The sequence below is a fragment of the Homo sapiens genome, chromosome 1 (genome assembly GCF_000001405.40).
Source record: "Homo sapiens chromosome 1, GRCh38.p14 Primary Assembly".
Classification (NCBI taxonomy): Eukaryota; Metazoa; Chordata; class Mammalia; order Primates; family Hominidae; genus Homo; species Homo sapiens.
This window is the reverse complement of record NC_000001.11, coordinates 202068344-202087292: the sequence shown is the minus strand read 5'-3', so window position 1 is coordinate 202087292 and position 18949 is coordinate 202068344. Positions and strand designations below refer to the sequence as shown.

The 18949-nt window shown below is 50.6% G+C and overlaps 9 annotated features.

The window, feature by feature from the left end:
* Window positions 87-231: an enhancer, noted in NCBI's record as "145 bp enhancer 200 fragment used in the MPRA reporter construct; PK_construct_859". NCBI's record gives its function as "activates an SV40 promoter by MPRA in K562 cells {active_cell/tissue: K562}" and the evidence as "EXISTENCE:reporter gene assay evidence [ECO:0000049][PMID:23512712]".
* Window positions 153-164: a transcriptional cis regulatory region, noted in NCBI's record as "FOXA motif; enhancer activity is reduced when this motif is scrambled". NCBI's record gives its function as "necessary for full MPRA enhancer 200 activity {active_cell/tissue: K562}" and the evidence as "EXISTENCE:site-directed mutagenesis evidence [ECO:0005528][PMID:23512712]".
* Window positions 1113-1872: an enhancer, noted in NCBI's record as "H3K27ac-H3K4me1 hESC enhancer chr1:202054549-202055308 (GRCh37/hg19 assembly coordinates)". NCBI's record gives its function as "activates a minimal SCP1, AML or CMV promoter by ChIP-STARR-seq in naive H9 embryonic stem cells {active_cell/tissue: H9 hESC(naive)}" and the evidence as "EXISTENCE:reporter gene assay evidence [ECO:0000049][PMID:30033119]".
* Window positions 1873-2632: an enhancer, noted in NCBI's record as "H3K4me1 hESC enhancer chr1:202053789-202054548 (GRCh37/hg19 assembly coordinates)". NCBI's record gives its function as "activates a minimal SCP1, AML or CMV promoter by ChIP-STARR-seq in naive H9 embryonic stem cells {active_cell/tissue: H9 hESC(naive)}" and the evidence as "EXISTENCE:reporter gene assay evidence [ECO:0000049][PMID:30033119]".
* Window positions 10871-11310: a transcriptional cis regulatory region, noted in NCBI's record as "candidate enhancer chr1.10696 targeted for multiplex CRISPR interference". NCBI's record gives its function as "positively regulates ELF3 gene expression in K562 cells {active_cell/tissue: K562}" and the evidence as "EXISTENCE:mutant phenotype evidence [ECO:0000015][PMID:30612741]".
* Window positions 10871-12029: a biological region, named in NCBI's record as "CRISPRi-validated cis-regulatory element chr1.10696". NCBI's record gives its function as "regulatory_interactions: ELF3".
* Window positions 11182-12029: an enhancer, noted in NCBI's record as "H3K4me1 hESC enhancer chr1:202044392-202045239 (GRCh37/hg19 assembly coordinates)". NCBI's record gives its function as "activates a minimal SCP1, AML or CMV promoter by ChIP-STARR-seq in primed H9 embryonic stem cells {active_cell/tissue: H9 hESC(primed)}" and the evidence as "EXISTENCE:reporter gene assay evidence [ECO:0000049][PMID:30033119]".
* Window positions 14677-15176: an enhancer, noted in NCBI's record as "H3K4me1 hESC enhancer chr1:202041245-202041744 (GRCh37/hg19 assembly coordinates)". NCBI's record gives its function as "activates a minimal SCP1, AML or CMV promoter by ChIP-STARR-seq in primed H9 embryonic stem cells {active_cell/tissue: H9 hESC(primed)}" and the evidence as "EXISTENCE:reporter gene assay evidence [ECO:0000049][PMID:30033119]".
* Window positions 16963-17712: an enhancer, noted in NCBI's record as "H3K27ac-H3K4me1 hESC enhancer chr1:202038709-202039458 (GRCh37/hg19 assembly coordinates)". NCBI's record gives its function as "activates a minimal SCP1, AML or CMV promoter by ChIP-STARR-seq in primed H9 embryonic stem cells {active_cell/tissue: H9 hESC(primed)}" and the evidence as "EXISTENCE:reporter gene assay evidence [ECO:0000049][PMID:30033119]".

The following is an 18949-nucleotide window of genomic DNA, read 5'->3' as shown; positions in this document are numbered from 1 at the left end:
CCCCCATACACACCCTCTGGCTCCCTCTGCCAGGGTAGCAGCCAGCCATGGCCGGCCTGAGCAGGACTGGGTTGGGAACATCTCCAGCCCCCTTCATGGCCCAGTGTCAGTTTCAAGCCCTTCTGGGGTGGGAGGAGGCTAGGGTGGGGCTGCCAAAGTCAATACAGCCTGTCTTCACGGGCAGGGACCGGTTTGGCACCTGCAGGCCTGGTTTCCAGCTCACATGCTTGAGTCTTGACCTCTCCTGGGGTCAGCTGGAGTTCCTCTCCCTCCAGTTCTCCAGTCTAACGTGTCTCTGCCTCTGCCCTGCAGTCTGGTCATTGCTGTTCAGGACCATAGACCCTCCTGCCATTCCCCACCCCAAACTCCAGACCAGCCCCTAAAGAGCTTTTACCCTCACACCCTCTAAACTTACACCTAAAATGGAAACTACCTACTACAGACACAACTGATGGTTACATTAACGTGACTTTGCTAGTCCATGGTCTTCATTAGCATAACTTTATTATTCCAATAGACTCCGCCCAGGTAAAAGACCTGATTGTTCACTAGGGGAACTTCCCACAAAACCATCAAATCTTCAATGGAAGCATCTACTTTGAGCTTGCTTCCTAACATTGTTTGAATCCCTTGTCTCAAAAATCCTGGCCTTGATGTTTGTACCAATTCTTGACTGTGAAATGGCGATCCTTACCCAGTCCTAATCAAAGCCCCTGCACTGCAAGATCCATCTTAAACCAAACTTCCAACAACCTTACCTTCCCCACTTGGAGAGACTGCCAAATCTCTGTCTCCCTCACCAAGGTGAGCAATAAACTGTGCTTTGTGATATCAGTAGATTGTACTAGTGATTTTGAGGAGCTGGCATTTAACACTTTCTACTTACCTTCCCCCTAAAATGAGCCATTCTGGTCTCCACAGGTGCAGCCCCAATAAGATCCCAAACCTGGCCTTCATCCTCCTAAACAGATGTGTTTCTGGAATTTCTCAGGGTCAAGCCAACTCCCTGCACTATGGCTGCCTCTGACTGGGAGGCCAGCCTAGGGCCCAGCCCACGCCTCCTGACATGTGGACAGAAGGAATGGGAGGCAGGGAAGGGGCTGGATTTAACTAACAAATGGATGAGGGGGGCAGAAGCCCTCACCAATCCAGACTTCTCTCCCAAGCAGGAAAGGGGAGCAAAGCAAAGTCCTCACGCTCTCCAACAGTCGGATTTGTTTTGCAAACTCTGAGGTCATCCTATGTTCAGGCCCCAGGGAAACTGTGAGGGCTGGGGGGAGGAGGAGGAGGCAGCTCCACAAGGGACACACACTGCTGCATCCAGACTCACTACCTCGTCCCCATCCCAACGTGCCCCTTCTTCATGCCTACTTCCAAATGCTCTCTAAGTTCTAACTCCCACTCTGCACAGCAAATCCTGCTCCCTACCCTGCTGCCTGTTTGATAGATGTGGAAACCTGCCAATGAGGAGCCAGCCCTTCCCCAAATGTAGGGGGGCACTAGATACCCCAACATCGGCCTCGACAAAGATAAAACTGCATGCATTTTGAGCATGAGGCTGGAGCAATTCAGAAAAAAGCCCCCTTTCACCCCTGTCTGAGGCCCCTGTGCCAGCAGCGGGACATCATTAATGCCCTTTGCCCATCATGGGCAAGCTCAATGGGAGCCAGGCAGCTGCCTCACCCAGCACTGCCCTGCCCCTACCCCCTTCCCTACCCGGGGTGGGGCTGTCCTTCCTCTCCCCGAGTGCCTCCTGGGGCTCGGGTCCCAGGGCTATACAAAGAGTCCTTTGTCTGTGCTGGAAACAATTGTTCTCCCCTTTATGGAAACATGGGCTGTGTCTCATAATCAAGCCTTCAGAGGCTGGATCAAAGTGCACTGCAGCTTGGGTGCTGGGGATTATGTAGTTGCCCTCGAAGCCACTGACAACCTGTCATCTGCTCCTAATCTTTACCTGTTCCAAACCCACTGAGAACACCATTTCTTCCATGGGCTGGGCCTGTGTGAGCCCTTGGAGAGGGAAGGGAGCTGGGGGGGACAGGAGGAGGACCGGGTGGGTCTCCCCCTCCTGGCACCCAGGGCTCAGGTTACAGCCCCTGACAACACAGCATTGGGTGTGAACGTGCAGGGAGGCACTACCTGGTGAGAAAGGGAGGTGCCTGATTTGGCCCAGGGCCACCCCCCATCTCCGGGATCTTCAGTCAAGGGGGGAACCACCCTTCAGACTCACAGGGGCCTCTTCTCCCTATTTGCTTTGGCGTGGAGTGAATCTCTGCCCAGAGACACATGGGACGGGGTCCCTGTTCTGCCCACAGCTCTCTAGCCCTCTGCCTGTCACCACCCAGCCCCTTCCCACCTCGCGATTCCTCCTCCTCCTCCACCTTGTGGCCCTCCCCACCGTCCCCTGCATCGCCCACACAGGAAAGACTGGCTGGCTCCACTCCCACGTGGGCCTTCCCTTCTCCATCAAGCCAACGTAACCAGGCCTGGAGGCTGAAAACATGCAGGCTCCAGACCACAAACTCCTCCTTTGCCTCCAAAAACATATCCACACACCTTTTCCAGAACGCAACAAAAACAAGTCCTAAATCACTCACCTGGAGATTAAAACCAAGTCTGTCCTCCAAGGTTGGAGCCTTTCTGGGCTAGTGCTACAATCGGTGCACAAAAATCACATTATTAGAACTGGACAAGCTCTTAGGGACAAATTTAGGGGCTTGTGAACCTGTTCCTCTCAGTCACACGCAAAGTTTTGTGCACCAACTCATTATTCTGGAGGTATCTATAGATTATGTTGGTATTTCTTTTTTTTTTTTTTTTTTTTTAGACGGGGTTTCGCTCCTGTCGCCCAGGCTGGAGTGCAATGGCACGATCTTGGCTCACCACAACCTCCGCCTCTCCGGTTCAAGTGATTCTCCTGCCTCAGCCTCCCAAGTAGCTGGGACTACAGGCATGCGCCACCACGCCCAGCTAATTTTTGTATTTTTAGTAGAGACGGGGTTTCACCATCTTGGCCACGCTGGCCTCGAATTCCTGACCTCATGATCCACCGGCCTTGGCCTCCCAAAGTGCTAGGATTACAAGCGTGAGCCACCACACCTGGCCTGATTCTGTTAGTATTTCAAACATAATTTAAGAATCGGCCTTGGCCAGGTGTGGTGGCTCACACCTGTAATCCCAGCATTCTGGGAGGCCAAGGCAGGCGGATCACCTGAGGCCAGAGTTCGAGACCAGCCTGGCCAACATGGTGAAACCCTTGTCTCTACTAAAAATACAAAAATTAGCCAGGCGTGGTAGCAGGCGCCTGTAATCCCAGCTACTCAGGAGGCTGAGGCAGGAGAATCACTTGAACCCGGGAGGCGGAGGTTGCAGTGAGCTGAGATCCTGCCACTGCACTCCAGCCTGGGGGACAAGAGGGAGACTTCGTCTCAAAAAAAAAAAAAAAAAAAAAAAAAAAAGAATCGGCCAGGTGCGGTGGCTCATGCCTGTAATTCCAGCACTTTGGGAGGCTGAGGCGGGTGGATCGCCTAAGGTCAGGAGTTCGAGACCAGCCTGGCCAACATGGTGAAAACCCGTCTCTACTAAAAATACAAAAATTCACCCAGCATGGTGGCGCATGCCTGTAATCCCAGCTACTGGGGAGATTGAAGCAGGAGAATTGCTTGAACCTGAGAGACGGAGGTTGCAGTGAGCCAAGATCGTGCCATTACACTCCAGCCTGGGCGACACGAGCGAAACTCCTTCTCAAAAAAAAAAAAAAAAAAAAAAAATCCATGTAGTCCAGTCCATATCCTTTTACAGATGGGGAGACCGAGCCTCCGAGTGAGAAAACTTTTGTTAGGTCTCCTAACCCCCAGGCCACAGACAGATCCCTGCTCTTTCCTGTGTAGCTTGTCTCCCTGCCAGCAATCACCCACAGGGGTTCCTGGCTTTTTGCAAAGATCACCGTTAATTCAAATGTCTGGGAGACCCCGTCCTTCCCCGGAGGAAGCTTACAATCAAGCGGAAGTGGAATACGTAAGAACTGACAAGCCAGTGATGGCTGAAGGTGGCTGACCAGGCACAGTGGCTTACTCCTGTAATCCCAGCACTTTGGGAGGCCTAGATGGGTGGATCACTTGAGTCAGGAGTTTGAGACCAGCCTGGCCAACATGGTGAAACCCTGTCTCTACTAAAAATACAAAAATTAGCCAGGCATGGTGGCATGCGCCTGTAATCCCAGCTGCTCAGCAGGCTGAGGCAGCAGAATCACTTGAACCCAGGAGGCAGAGGTTGCAGTGAACCGAGATCACGTCACTGCACTCCAGCCTGGGCAACAGAGCAAGATTTTGTCACAAACAAACAAACAAACAAACAAACACACAAACAAACAAAAAAGCTGATAGCCCGGGATATGAATAAATGCAGAGTTCAATGCAATGCACTGAGATAGCATCAAAAGCAGGCCTACTACAAATACACATGAAAACTAGTCTTCCCAGGCCGGGCGGTGGCTCACTCCCGTAATCCCAGCACTTCAGGAGGCTGAGGTGGGCAGATCACCTGAGGTCAGCAGTTCAAGACCAGCCTGGCCAACATGGCGAAACCCCGTCTCTACTAAAAATACAAAAATTAGCGGGGCATGGTGGCATGCGCCTGTAATCTCAGCTACTCAGGAGGCTGAGGCACGAGAATTGCTTGAACCTGGGAGGTAGAGGTTGCAGTGAGCCGAGATCACACCACTGCACTGCAGCCTGGGGAACAGAGCAAGCCTCCATCTCAAAAAAAAAAAAAAAAAAGAAAGAAAACTAGTCCTCCCAAAAAGGCAGTCCAGGGACCTCTGTCCCACCTTCAGGTCTGGCTGGCTGTGGGACTGTGGGGTCAAGGCTGGCCCGCTGACCAGAACAGAGCCCCTGACTGGGCTTTGGTGTGCGTCCTGCCCCCAGGAAATTAGTGTTCTGTTCAAGAGACAGGACACAAGGCCCCCCGACAGCAGCCAGAGAGTTCAAACCCTCCATGGCTCTGCATCTTACCTGTAAAAGCCAAAGTCCTACAAAAGCCCGGTGCTATCTGCCCCTGCCCTAGACTTCATCTCCACCCCCGCACCCTTGGCTCTGTTCCATCTGCACAGGCCCCCTTGGCTTTCCTCACAGGAGCCGCACATTCCAGCTGCTGGCCTTTATAAAGGCAGAAAAGTGTGATCACTTTTCTCACCCACCAGGAGGTTAACAAGAGAAAACGTAACAGATTTATTTAATCAAAGTTGGGTTTTGTTTGTTTGTGTTTGTTTTTCCTCACTCTGTAGCCCAAGCTAGAGTGCATGGTGGGATCTCAGCTCACTGAAGCCTTGACCTCCTGGGCTCAGGTGATCATCCTACCTCAGCCTCCCGAGTAGCTGGGACTAGAGGTGCACACCACCATGCCTGGCTAATTTTTTAAATTTAATTTTCATAGAGACTGTGTCTCACAATGTTGCCCAGGCTGGTTCAAGCAATCCTCCCACTCAGTCTCCCAAAGTGCTAGAATTACAAGTGTGACCCACTGGGCCTGGACTATTTGATCAAAGTTTTATGTGTTCACAACCAGCCTGGGCAACATAGGGAGACCTCATTTCAATAAAATTTTTAAAAAATTTTGAGACAGCCTTCAGAAATGAAGACCCAAAGACCTGGGGAAAACTGTCTGAGTTTATGCTTAAAGGTTGATGAGGAATGGTAGCTGTGTAGAAATGTGATTGGATGAAGGGGTATGATCTAATGCTCAGTGACTGAGAGAGGAAACAGCAAGGCCTGTCTGCTTGATTCTCCTTGGCTTCTCTGTGTAACCTTTCTTTCTTTTTCTTTTTTGATATGAAGTCTCACTCTATTGCCCAGGCTGGAGGGCAGTGGAATGATCTTGGCTCACTGCAACCTCCACCTCCCAGGTTCAAGCAATTCTCCCACCTCAGCCTCCTGAGTAGCTGGGATTACAGGTGCATGGTACCACACCCGGCTAATTTTTGTATTTTTGGTAGAGACAGGGTTTCACCATGTTGGCCAGGCTGGTCTCAAACTCCTGACCTCAAGTGATCTGCCCGCCTTGGCCTCCCAAAGTGCTGGGATTACAGGCGTGAGCCACTGTGCCCAGCCTGTGTAGCATTTCTTCTTCCTAGGCATGAGGAAGGACCCCTCTGGGATGAGGGTCTTTAAGGGAGAAGGGAGAGAGGGAAAATGACCTCTCTAGGTTTTGCTTTCTGGGAGAGGGATTCTAGTTTCTATGGCCTTGGGGAAGAGGAATTCTGGTTTCTGTGACTTGCCTTGAAAGAGAAAGGTGAGCAGCAGGGCAGGAGGTCAGAGAGACTCTGCTTCCGAGGCCTTCCCATCTCCTTTAGTTCAAAATACTCAGCATGCCTTACTTTGGGGAATTGTGTTCTGAGCCCTGCCTGGAAGTCTCTTCTCTGAGGTGGTTCCACAGCTCTATCCTCAGGCCAGCACTGAAACCTTCTCTTAACCAAAACATCTGAGAGGAGAACACATCGAAGCCTACCCTCACCCGTTTCATCTCCATCCTTTTCTTTCTTCTGCTTTGTTTTTCTTCAGGGAACATATCAGCACCTGACATAATTGTGTGTTTCATTATTGTTAACTGTATTTTTTTTCAGGTTTTTTTTTTTGAGATGGAGTGTCGCTTCGTTGCCAGGCTGGAGTACAGTGGCGTGATCTCGGCTCACTGCAAACTCCGCCTCCCGGGTTAAAGTGATTCTCCTGCCTCAGCCTCCCGAGTAGGTGGGACTACAGGTGTGCGCCACCATGCCCAGGTAATTTTTGTATTTTTAGTAGAGACAGGGTTTCACCATGTTGGCCAGGATGGTCTCGGTCTTTGACCTCGTGATCCACCCACCTCGGCCTCCCAAAGTGCTGGGATTACAGGCATGAGACACTGTGCCCGGACTTTTTTTTTTTTTTTTAAGTAGAGACAGGGTCTCCCTATGTTGCCCAGGCTGTTCTCAAACTTCTGGGCTCAAGGTATCTACCTACCTCCACCTCCCAAAGTGCTAGGATTACAGGTGTGAGCCACCACGCCCGTAACAATAACCACAATAATTGTTGTTAATTGTATTTTGATTGTCAGTTGCTCCAAGTAGAATATTAGCCTCATGAGGACAGAATTTTTTTTTTTTTTTTTGGAGACAGGTTTTCACTCTGTCACCCAGGCTGGAGTGCAGTGACACGGTCTTTGCTCATTGCAGCCTCAACCTCCCAGGCTCAAGTTATCCCCCTGCCTCAGCCTCCTGAGTAGCTGGGACTGCAGGCAGGCACCACCACGCCTAGCTAACTTTTGTATTTTTTGTAGAGACAAGACTTTACCATGTTTCCCAGGCTGGGAGGACAAGATTTTTGTGTTTTGTTCTCTGCTGTATCCTCAGTGCCTAAAACAGCACACAGTAGGAATTCAATAAATATTTCAATGACTATTGTTGAAAGAATATAGGAGGCCGGGTGTGGTGGCTCATGCCTGTAATCCCAGCACTTTGGGAGGCCGAGGTGGGTGGATCACGAGGTCAGGAGTTCAAGACCAGCCTGACCAAGATGGTGAAACCCTGTCTCTACTAAAAATACAAAAAATGGCCGGGCGCGGTGGCTCACACCTGTAATCCCAGCACTTTGGGAGGCTGAGGTGAGTGGATCACGAGGTCAGGAGATCGAGACCATCCTGGCTAACACTGTGAAACCCCGTCTCTACTGAAAATACAAAAAAAAATTAGCTGGGCATGGTGGCGGGTGCCAGTAGTCCCAGCTATTTGGGAAGCTGAGGCAGGAGAATGGCGTGAACCCGGGAGGCAGAGCTTGCAGTGAGCCGAGATCGTGCCACTGCACTCCAGCCTGGGTGACAGAGCGAGACTCCGTCTCAAAAAAAAAAAAATACAAAAAATTAGCCAGGCATGGTGGAATGCACCTGTAATCCCAGCTACTCGGGAGGCTGAGGCAGAGAATTGCTTAAACCTGGGAGGCGGAGGTTGCAGTGAGCTGAGATCGCGCCACTGCACTCCAGCCTGGGTGACAGAGCAGGACTCTGTCTCAAACAAAAAAAAAGAAAGAAAGAATATAGGAAAAGGGGGCCAGGCATGGTGGTTTATGCCTATAATCCCAACATTTTGGCTGGGCGCGGTGGCTCACGCCTCTAATCCCAGCACTTTGGGAGACTGAGACGGGTGGATCACAAGGTCAGGAGATCGAGACCATCCTGGCTAACATGGTGAAACCCTGCCTCTACTAAAAATACAAAAAAAAATTAGCCGGGCATGGTGGTGGGCGCTTGTAGTCCCAGCTACTTGGGAGGCCGAGGCAGGGAGAATGGTGTGAACCCGGGAGGCAGAGCTTGCAGTGAGCTGAGATCGCGCCACTGCACTCCAGCCTGGGGGACAGAGCGAGACTCCATCTCAAAAAAAAAAAACAAAAAAAACCCCAAAAACCAACATTTTGGGTGACCAAAGCAGGCAGATCATATACGGCCAGAAGTTTGAGACCAGTCTGGCCAATATGGTGAAACGTCATCTTTACTAAAAATACAAAAATTAGCCAGGTGTGGTGGTGCACATCTGTAATCCCAGCTACTCGGGAGGCTGAGGCAGGAGAATCACTTGAATTGGAAAGGCAGAGGTTGCAGTGAGCCGAGATCGCACCACTGTACTCCAGCCTGGGTGACAGAGCAGGAGTCTTATCTCAAAAAAAAAAAAAAAAAAAAGACTATATGAAAAGGAATATTAGATAAAACACATGGCCCTAGTTTCCCCATATGGAAAATGGGAAGGATTAAACTGGATCTAAGATTCCATCTGTTTCCAGGAGTCAGGCAGGCTGTGCTGGGGCGGCCTGGTTGGGCATGGAGGTGGGGCTGAGAGGGACAGTTTCCTCACAGGCTTCAGAACAAGCCTGTATGTGACTGGCAGGGTGGGGCAGGGCGTTGGGGGAGGGGCGATGGAAGGACTTTGCTAAGGATCTATCCAGAAGACTTCAGAATTCCCTGAATGAGGCAGGTCCAGATGTGGGCAGCTTCAGGTCAGGGCATGGGGGCCCTTCAAATAAACAGCAGCAGGCCGGGCGCGGTGGCTCACACCTGTAATCCCAGCACTTTGGGAGGCCGAGGCAGATGGATCACCTGAGGTCTGGAGTTCGAGACCAGCCAGGCCAACATGGTGAAACCCCATGTGTACTAAAAATACAAAAACTTAGCCAGGTGTAGTGGCGGGTGCCTGTAATCCCAGCTACTCAGGAGGCTGAGGCAGGAGAATCGCTTGAACCCAGGAGGTGGAGGGCCGAGATCGTGCCACTGCACTCCAGCCTGGGCAACAAGATTGAAATTCTGTCTCAAAAAAACAAAAACAAAAAAACTCCAAACATTTGCAGAGCACTTCCCACAGGCCACAGCCTGTCTGACCTTTCCAGACCAGTAAAGCAGGCCATCCCTCCAGCTCCTTTCCTCAAGGGCCCTTCCAGCATCATTCGGGTCTCAGGCTAAATGTCACTTCCTTGGAGTGGGCTTCTCTAATCACACCCTGTCACCCTCTAGCAATCATCCTATTTTAATTTCTCACATAGCACTTGGCATTCCCTGTGGATTCTCTGGTTTGAGGTCTGACTCCTCCATTTGAGTGGAAGTCCCATAAGGGCAGGGTCTGTCTCCTTCACCACAGCATTCTTCACCTGGGGCAGCACCCAGGGCAGCACCAGAAGACAGGTGAAGAGAAACCCTGTTTTATAGCTATGAAAACAGAAGCACAGAGGCTAAGTGTCTGGCCCAAGGTCTAACAGAGAGTCAGTACCAGAGCCAGCATCCATCCTCCCATGCTGACCCTCCTGCTCACCATGCCTGTCTCTCTGCCCTGGCTACCACATGGCAGCCAAAGTGAGTTTTTCTTCTTCTTTCTTTCTTTTTTTTTTTTTGAGATGGAGTCCTGCTCTGTCGCTAGGCTAGGGTGCAGCGGCACAGTCTCGGCTCACTGCAACCTCCTCCTCCTGGGTTCAAGCGATTCTCCTGCCCAGTCTCCCAAGTAGCTGGGATTACAAGTACACACCACCATGCCCGGCTAATTTCTGTATTTTTAGTAGAGACGAGGTTTCACCATGTTGGCCAGGATGGTCTTGATCTCCTGACCTTGTGACCCATCCGCCTCAGCCTCCCAGAGTGCTGGGATTACATGCGTGAGCCACCGCGCCCAGCCCAAAGTAAATTTTTCAAAACATAGACCAGATTCCTTCTGACTCACCTTCCTGTGGGTTGGTTTTCTGCATATCATCATCTCCAGACTTCTTATCTAGGCCTGTCTGACTGTCCTCATCAGGCCTCTGCCCACCATCCTCTTCTCTCCAGCTTCTATTTAACCCCCAGATCATGCTCACTCCTGCCCCAGGACCTTTGCGCTGGCTCTCTCCTCTCCAGGAAGGTTTTGGCATGGCTCATTCTTATCCCCCAGGGTATTTGTAGGAAGGTCATCCTGACCACTCTAAAGCCACCCTGTGCTGTCCCCATAGTCCCTCCCCACCACAGCCCTCTTAGACTTTCCTCCATTGCACTCAGCACCCACTACAATTATTGATTTATCTTTTGTCTCCGGCTACCCAGAACACAGCCCAGTGAGAGTAGAGACCATGCCTGGTGGCATCCTCGGTGCATCTCCGGTGCCCAGAATGGTGCCTGGCACAAAGTGGGCACTCATAAAATATTTGTTAAATGAATGGATGCAGGAGTGAATACATTTGAGAAAAAGAACCAATGGGCAGGAAAGAAATGAGGTTGGAAAGGCAGGGCTGGGGGCTGAGGGTCATTTCATAGAACAAGCACAGAGGCCTGCAGGCCCAGGCGCGGACCTCAGGAGAGATGCACAGACTACCATTAAGAGACAGTGACACTGAGGTTCCTCGCGGTGCTGGGAAGTCTGACTTGAGAGTACAGTGCTGGTTATGATTATAAACTGGCAAAAGGCAAACAGGCGAGACTGGTGAGCTTAACCCAGTGCATCTCACTCCTCTTATCAAATTTCTCTGAAGCTGTTATCTCTCTGGACTTCAAACAGCTGCCTCTTATCTTCAGCCCAGCCCAAGCAGTTATCAGGTTCTAGAATAACAGCTTTCCAGGCTGCTAGGAGCAGAGCCCAGTGCCAGGTCTCCAGCCTGGCGTGAGGAAGGCCAGAGTGTGTCTTCCCTGCACTCAGCAGGGCCTATTCACTCCCAGTCCCCAGAGTCCCTCATCACAGCACAGGAAGGGTGGGAGATAGGCTGAATCTCAATGAAGCCACTTTGGGTAGGGGCGGAGCAAAAAAAAATTTCTACTCACAGTTCCACCAACCTGTTAAGGGACTGGTCCTGAGTCTCCTCTTATCACCTGAGCCACAGGTTAAAGCCTTAAATGGGACCCCTGGGACCCCAGAACATGACCCGGATGTCAGGCCTCCTCTGAGAATATCCCAGTCCGCAGCACCCTTTAGTGCCAGAAGAGAAGTTTACCGGAGAGAAGTAGGCCCTCCTATGTGCCTTGGTCTACTCTGACCTAAGAAATCACTCCTCAGCCACCCAGGACCAAGTCACCTTCAGAACTTTGAAGCCAGATGTGTGAGAGGGAGACTGAGTCACTCTGCAGGACAGATCAGGCCCTCAGGGTTCTGCCTCCTCACCATCCCGGCAGGACGCAGAGCTCCAGCAAAGTCCAGGAGGCCACAGGCTGACATCCACCTGGCCTCACTTCATACCAGGTGGTGCACTGGCCCAGGCCCCATAGACAAGGGACAGCCAGGGCCCTCCCTACACCCTGGGGTAGGGGCAGGAGCCAGGGCAGGACAACGGGCACAGCATGACATGCCCTGAAGGACTTGTGCCTGCTGCCTCCCACCGGTGCCCTCCCTCTGTTAGCTATAGAGATGTGTGTAAGTCTGAGCCATGGGAAGGCTTCCTAAGGCATCTTTAGAAGCTGGCCAGACCCCTCACTTCCTGACTTCATTCCCCCTTGAAGCAGGGGGTGCCAATAAGGAAAAAAAGCACATACAGAAGTGACATTAGCAACAGCATGTCAACACCTGTGCAGAGCAGTTTATCAGTAAACAAAGGCCAGAGCACAGGGCAGAGAGGGGAGCTTGGACTTGACCCTGTGGACAAAGGGAAGCTGTGGTGGAGCTTTAAGTAGGGGGTGGACAGCACCAGATTTGCATGTTTGAAAGACCCTCTGGCTATAATGAGTGGGGAGGAGCCACAGACAGAAGGGACAGACTTGCAGGAGGAGCTGTTAGCAGTGCAGGAGAGAAACTGACCATTTGAGAGAGTCCTCAGTACGCATGTATTTTCTCAATATAAAGACACTGGTTCGGCCAGGTGCGGTAGTTCACGCCTGTAGTCCCAGCAATTTGGGAGGCCAAGGCAGGCAGATTACTTGGGACCAGGAGTTCAAGACCAGCCTGGACAACATGGCAAAACCCTGTCTCTGCTAAAAATACAACACTTAGCCAGTCGCAGTAGCGCATGCCTGCAGTCCCAGCTATTCAGAAGGCTGAGGTGGTAGGATCGCTTGAGTCCAGGAGGCAGAGGTTGCAGTGAGCCAAGATTGTGCCACTGTACTTCTAGCCTGGGTGACAGAGTAAGACTGTCTCAAAAAAAAAAAAAGACAGTGGTTCGAGACCAGCCTGGGCAACACATAGTGAAACCCTGTCTCTAAAAATAATTAAAAATTAGCTGGGTGTGGTGGTGTGTGCCTGTAGTCCCAACTACTTGGGAGGCTGAGGTAGGAGGATTGCTTGAGCCCAGGAGGTTGAGGCTGCAGTGAGCTGTCATTGTGCCACTGCACTCCAGCCTGAGCAACTAAGAAAGACCCTGTCTCAAAAAAAAAAAAAAAAAAAAAAAAGCACTAGACCAGGCACAGTGTCTCACGCCTGTAATCCCAGCACTTTGGGAGGCCAAGGTGGGCAGATCACGAGGTCAGGAGATCGAGACCATCCTGGCTAACACGGTGAAACCTCGTCTCTACTAAAAATACAAAAAATTAGCCAGGTGTGGTGGCAGGCGCCTGTAGTCCCACCTACTTGGGAGGCTGAGGCAGGAGAATGGCATGAACCCGGGAGGCGGAGTTTGCAGTGAGCCGAGATCGTGGTACTGCACTCCAGCCTGGGCAACACAGCAAGACTCTGTTTCAAAAAAAAAAAAAAAAAAAAAAAGACACTAAAAGCCAAATTCCAAGCATGTGGAAGCTCATCAGTTGTTTTTTTTTGTTTTTTTTTTTGAGATGGAGTCTCACTCTGTCGCCCAGGCTGGAGTGCAGTGGTGCAATCTCAGCTCGCTGCAAGCTCCACCTCCTGGGTTCACATCATTCTCCTGCCTCAGCCTCCCGAGTAGCTGGGACTACAGGCGTCCACCACCACACCCGGCTAATTTTTTGTTGTTTTTAGTAGAGACAGGATTTCACCGTGTTAGCCAGGATGATCTCGATCTCTTGACCTTGTGATCTGCCTGCCTCAGCCTCCCAAGTGCTGGGATTACAGGCGTGAGTCACTGCGCCCGGCTCATCAGAAGTTTTTAACTGTTTTTGAAAAAGTCTTCATCCTCCAAAAGGCTGGGAAGGCCTCCATGTATAGGTAACACCCAAGCCCCTTCCTCAGGCCTCCAAAGCCTTCCAAGATGGGGCCCAGCCTCATTCTCCAATGCTGTGCCCTTGTTTGCACCCCAGTGTCCAGCATGAGGCCTAGCCCCCTTTGCCCAGGTAACCACAGTGACCCATGCCTCCATGCCACTGTGCAGGCTGTCACTGCTGCAAAGCATTCCCCACTCCGTCCTGTGTCTTGTTCAACGCTCAGCACAGCACCTGGCCCATGGTAAAGCTCTCAATCAATATGTGTTTTACACACAGCAGAGGTAATCACTCCCTCTACCTCCATGCGGAGTACACACCTCTAATATCGCACTTACGTTGCTCGGCAATAGCCTGTTTACTTGACATGTCCACTCAGACGGCGAGCTCTTTGAGGGCTGGGACTCTTTCATCTTTGTGTCCTCACTGCCTGGCACACAGTAGGTACTCAATAAATGCTTGTTGAATGACTGCGTAAAACCCATCTGAAGCTTCTCTAATCACTTCTGAGAAACCTTAGTACATCTATGGCCCTCTTTTTTTTTTTTTTTTTTTTTTGAGACAGAGTCTCGCTCTGTCGCCCAGGCTGGAGTGCAGTGGTGTGAGCTCGGCTCACTGCAGCCCCCACCTCTCGGGTTCAAGTGATTCTCCTGTCTCAGCCTCCTGAGTAGCAGCTGGGATTACAGGCGCCTGCCACCATGCCCAGATAATTTTTGTATTTTTAGTAGAGACGGGGTTTCACCGTGTTGGCCAGGCTGGTCTCGAACTCCTGACCTCAGGTGATCCACCTACTTTGGTCCCCCCAAAGTGCTGGGATAACAGGCATGAGCCACTGCGCCTGGCCAGGCACCTCCTGTATCTCCCTCACCACACTGCTCTGTAGCCCAGCAGTTAATCCAGGTACCTCAGACAAGTCCAGGTCCAAATCCTGGCTGCACCATTTGATGATGACCTAGCACACCCCTTGAGCCTCAGGTTTCCATTTGGTGTCCATATTCCATTAGGGAAGTGGAAGAATGCAATCAGATAATTCATGGCAAGAGTTTGGCAAATGTCAAATAAATGCCAACTTTGTTATTCTGGCCTCACCCACAGTTTTCTCACTCCCAGAATCCTAAAGCCAGCCGTTTAGTGCCTCAGAGACCTTGCTCTTAGAGAGATAAGATGCCCTAGGTGTGGCCAAAGAATAAGAAGGTCCAAAGTGAAGATAACATTTTAAAAAATGTGTAGAATAGAATGAGTAATAAGAAAAGGAAGGCTGGCCAGGGTAGCGACAGAATCAGGAGGGACCTTGAGGCTGCCTGGGAGTGCCTGTGTGTATTGGCGTGGCAGAGCCAACCGTCAAGGTCCGGCACCGGCCCGCCCAGCATCTGGGTTCTGCTGCAGCTCTTCTGGCCAAGGCTGGGTGGCCACTTCTCCCCACACCGCTCAAGGGTTCTCCTTCCTCAGCTAACTGGCTCTCCCCACAAACATGCTGTGAATTTCCTGGGGTTGCTCTCCAGTTAGGGATTGAGAGGCCTTAGACGTGAAGGGCAAAAATGTCATTAAGAACCCAGACTGGCCGCCTAGCATATATGGCATTCCCTGGGCCTCATCGTTCTTTTTTTTTTTTTTTTTTGAGACGGAGTTTCACTCTCGTCACCCAGGCTGGAGTGCAATGGCGCGATCTCGGCTCACTGCAACCTCTGCCTTCCGGGTTCATGCGATTCTCCTGCCTTAGCCTCCTGAGTAGCTGGGACTACAGGCAGGCACCACCACGTCCAGCTAATTTTTTTGTATTCTTAGTAGAGACGGGGTTTTGTCACATTGGCCAGGCTGGTCTCGAACTGCTGACCTCAGGTGATCTGCTTGTCTCAGCCTCCCAAAGTGCTGGGATTACAGGCGTGAGCCACCGCACCCAGCCTTAATTTTTATATTTTTAGTACAGATGGGGTTTCCCCATGTTGGCCAGGCTGGTCTCGAACTCCTGACCTCAGGTGATCCACCCACCTCGGCCTCCCAAAGTGCTGGGATTACAGGCGTGACCTACCACGCCCGGCCCATAATTCTTCATTTGTAAATTGGGATAGCAATTTCTATCTCATAGAATTTTTTTTTTTTTTTGAGACAGATTCTCTCACTCTCCCACCCATGCTGGAGTGCAGTGGCGCGATCTCAGCTCACTGCAACCTCTGCCTCCCAGGTTCAAGTAACTCTCCTGCCTCAGCCTCCAGAGTAGCGGAGACTACAGGCAAGTGCAGCCACAGTCAGCTAATTTTTGTATTTTTAGTAGAGATGGGGTTTCACCATGTTGGCCAGGCTGGTCTCAAACTCCTGACTTCAAGCGATCTGCCTACCTTGGCCTCTCAAAGTGCTGGGATTACAGACATGAGCCACTGCACCCATCCTATGTCATAGAATTTTAATTTTAAGTTAGATCATGTTAGGTTGGCCATATAATTTATTATCCAAACCAGGATACTTTTGAAAGTGAAAGGAGGCCACTGTCCACATTTACACTGGAACAATAGGCCTAAGCCAGGACTGCCCGGTGAACAGGGAGGTAAGGTCACCTTGGGTTCTGCTTATAAGTACCTCACCTTAGTGGTAGCAACAACAGCAGACACTCATTGGCTCTTACAATGTATAGTGTATGATTCTAAGTGCTTTGCCTCATTTGATTTTTACAAACAATAGAAGTACCTGTTTTACAGGTGGATATCCACCATTTTGTAGGTGAATAAACCAAGGCATACAACATTAAGTAATAGGTTGTTTTCTTTGTTTTGTTTTGTTTTGTTTTTTTAAGGCCATTCAAGTGAAACAGTGGGAGTGAAGGAACAAAGAAATCTGTAACTGCTTGTGATCAATTAGTTGTAAACACCAAGTAATACGTCTTCGGTCACCCAGATGGTAATAATAGTAGAGATGGAACCCAGAGTCTATGTGCAGGATTACCAGACCATGCTGGCCTTGGTCAAAGCTGTTGGCTCTTCCTGAGTAAGCCATCCCACTCGGATTCCCAGGAGTCAGTCTCTCAGCCCCAGCTGAGCAGGCTTCTACCTCAGGTGTGTCTGTCATGGCATAAGGCCCCTCCTCACTGTCTAAGCTCACTCCCTGGGTATTACCCATCCACACACCCTGAGCAACCAGCTGTGATCACCAACCTAGAATTTCAGCCCAGGTGTCTGCTGAGCTCCAGACTGGCATATTCAGGGCCTGCCTGGGCATCTCTGGGGTCCCTATCTGGAACCAAAGCACACTGAGAAGGGACTGAGGTGACCTCTCACAGGGTCCAGGGTGCTCCAGGGTAGATGACCTATACCAGAGGAATTGATAAACTGATATGTCCTAAATTTTAAAAAACCTCTTGGCTGAGCATCTGTTAACTGGGCAGTATGAGGTGGAGACTGTTTTCTTTCCTTTTTTTTTGTTTTTGTTTTTGAGAGGGAGTCTCACTCTGTCCCCCAGGCTGGAGTGCAATGGTGCAATCTCGGCTCACTGCAACCTCCGCCTCCTGGGTTCAAGTGATTCTCATGCCTCAGCCTCCTGAATAGCTGGGATTACAGGCACCAGCCACCACACCCGGCTAATTTTTGCATTTTTAGTAGAGACGGGGGTTGCGCCATGTTGAGCAGGCTAGTCTTGAACTCCCGACCTCAACTGATCTTCCCACCTCGGCCTCTCAAAACGCTGGGGTTACAGGCTTGAGCCACTGTTCCCGGCCCAGATTGTAACTTTTTAATGGGGCAACCACCCTTGGCCTTCTAGTCATCGTTGATGTCTTCTACAATACAAGCCTGTCTGCTGTGCATGCATTTTGCCCCCACAGACATCAGGTTCTATTAGCCATCTGCAGGTCACGCTCCCTTGGTTGCCATTCTGACCTTGCCAGTGTTTACAATGTCTGCTACAATCTGGCTTTTTGTCACCAGGGCAGCCACCTGGTCTCCATTGTTTCAGAGTCCTCTTATTTCCACTGATATCAACAACAGGCCTCTCCTACTGGGAGCCTCAGCCTACAGAGGAAAGCTGCCACTGAACTTCTGAGTGCTGCTGGTGTCCCTCTCAACACTGCATTCCTGATGGTCTTGGTGTAAATGGTGCATCCTTGCAGGCTTCCCATGGAACCTAAACATCTGATGGGTCTTCTGGTAGCACCCAGCATATCATTTGAGCATGTCCCCTTCCCTGCACTTTTTTTTTTTTTTTTTTTGAGACAGAGTCTCGCTTTGTTGCCCAGGCTGGAGTGCAGTGGCACGATCTCGGCTCACTGCAACCTCCGCCTCCCGGGTTCAAATGATTCTCCTGCCTCAGCCTCCCAAATAGCTGGGACTACAGGTGCATGCCACCATGCCCAGCTAATTTTTTGTATTTGTGGTAGAGACAGGGTTTTACCGTGTTAGCCAGGCTGGTCTTGATCTCCTGACCTCGTGATCCACCTGCCTTGGCCTCCCAAAGTGCTGGGATTACAGGCCTGAGCCACTCCATCCAGCCCCCTGCACTTTTTAATCATTTCCTTCACCACCTGCTACAGTAATTCTGGTACTGCAATTTCATTCACTGTGGACGCTTTTTCCAGCTTCTAGAAGCCATCATTATGGCAAGTTCATACACTCTCCTGAGATCCTCACTAAATCCAGTATCTCGGTAGAGCTCAATAAAGTCAATAAATTTTCCTATCATATATATATATATATAAAAATATATAAAACATTATTTTAAATAATTAAAAAAATAGAGACAAGGTCTTGCTATATTGCTCAGGCTGGTCTCGAACTTCTGAGCTCAAGCCATCCTCCTGCCTTGGCCTCCCAAAGTGCTGGGATTAAAGGTGTGGGCCACCATGCCCGGTCTCCTATCCAATTGTTCCAGCTCCTCAATCAAGCATCCTCGGAATCATTCCACCCAAACTCCCCTGGGACTGCTAGCAATGCTGATTCTTGCAGCTGGTTTGAAACACAATCTCCTTTTCTCTGTCATTAGGCCCAGCACCTCCCCAGCTGGCTTACTCCAAGACTTAAAGGTTTAGTGTAGCCCGAAAAGGAGGTGGTCCTGAAGGGGCACTCATTGTCTTGCTGGAGTGAGGCTTCTGCATTGCCTTTGAGCAAGGGCTGGTGGGGAGGCAGTGCTAGCTCACAATATGGAGGAGTGGATCACATCTGCAGATTCAGAGTAGCCTGGGATACCAGGATCTTCAGGAACCTTCACCCGGATGTCTCCACTCATAGTTGTTTCCATCCCATGGGTTAGGGTCCCAGATTTTTCTAAATTTTTTATTTTATTTTATTTTTTGAAAAAGTATCTGGCTCTAATGCCCAGGCTGCAGTGCAGTGGTATGAGCTCGGCTCACTGCAACCTCCACCTCCCAGGCTCAAGCAATCCTCCCACCTCAGGCTCCCAA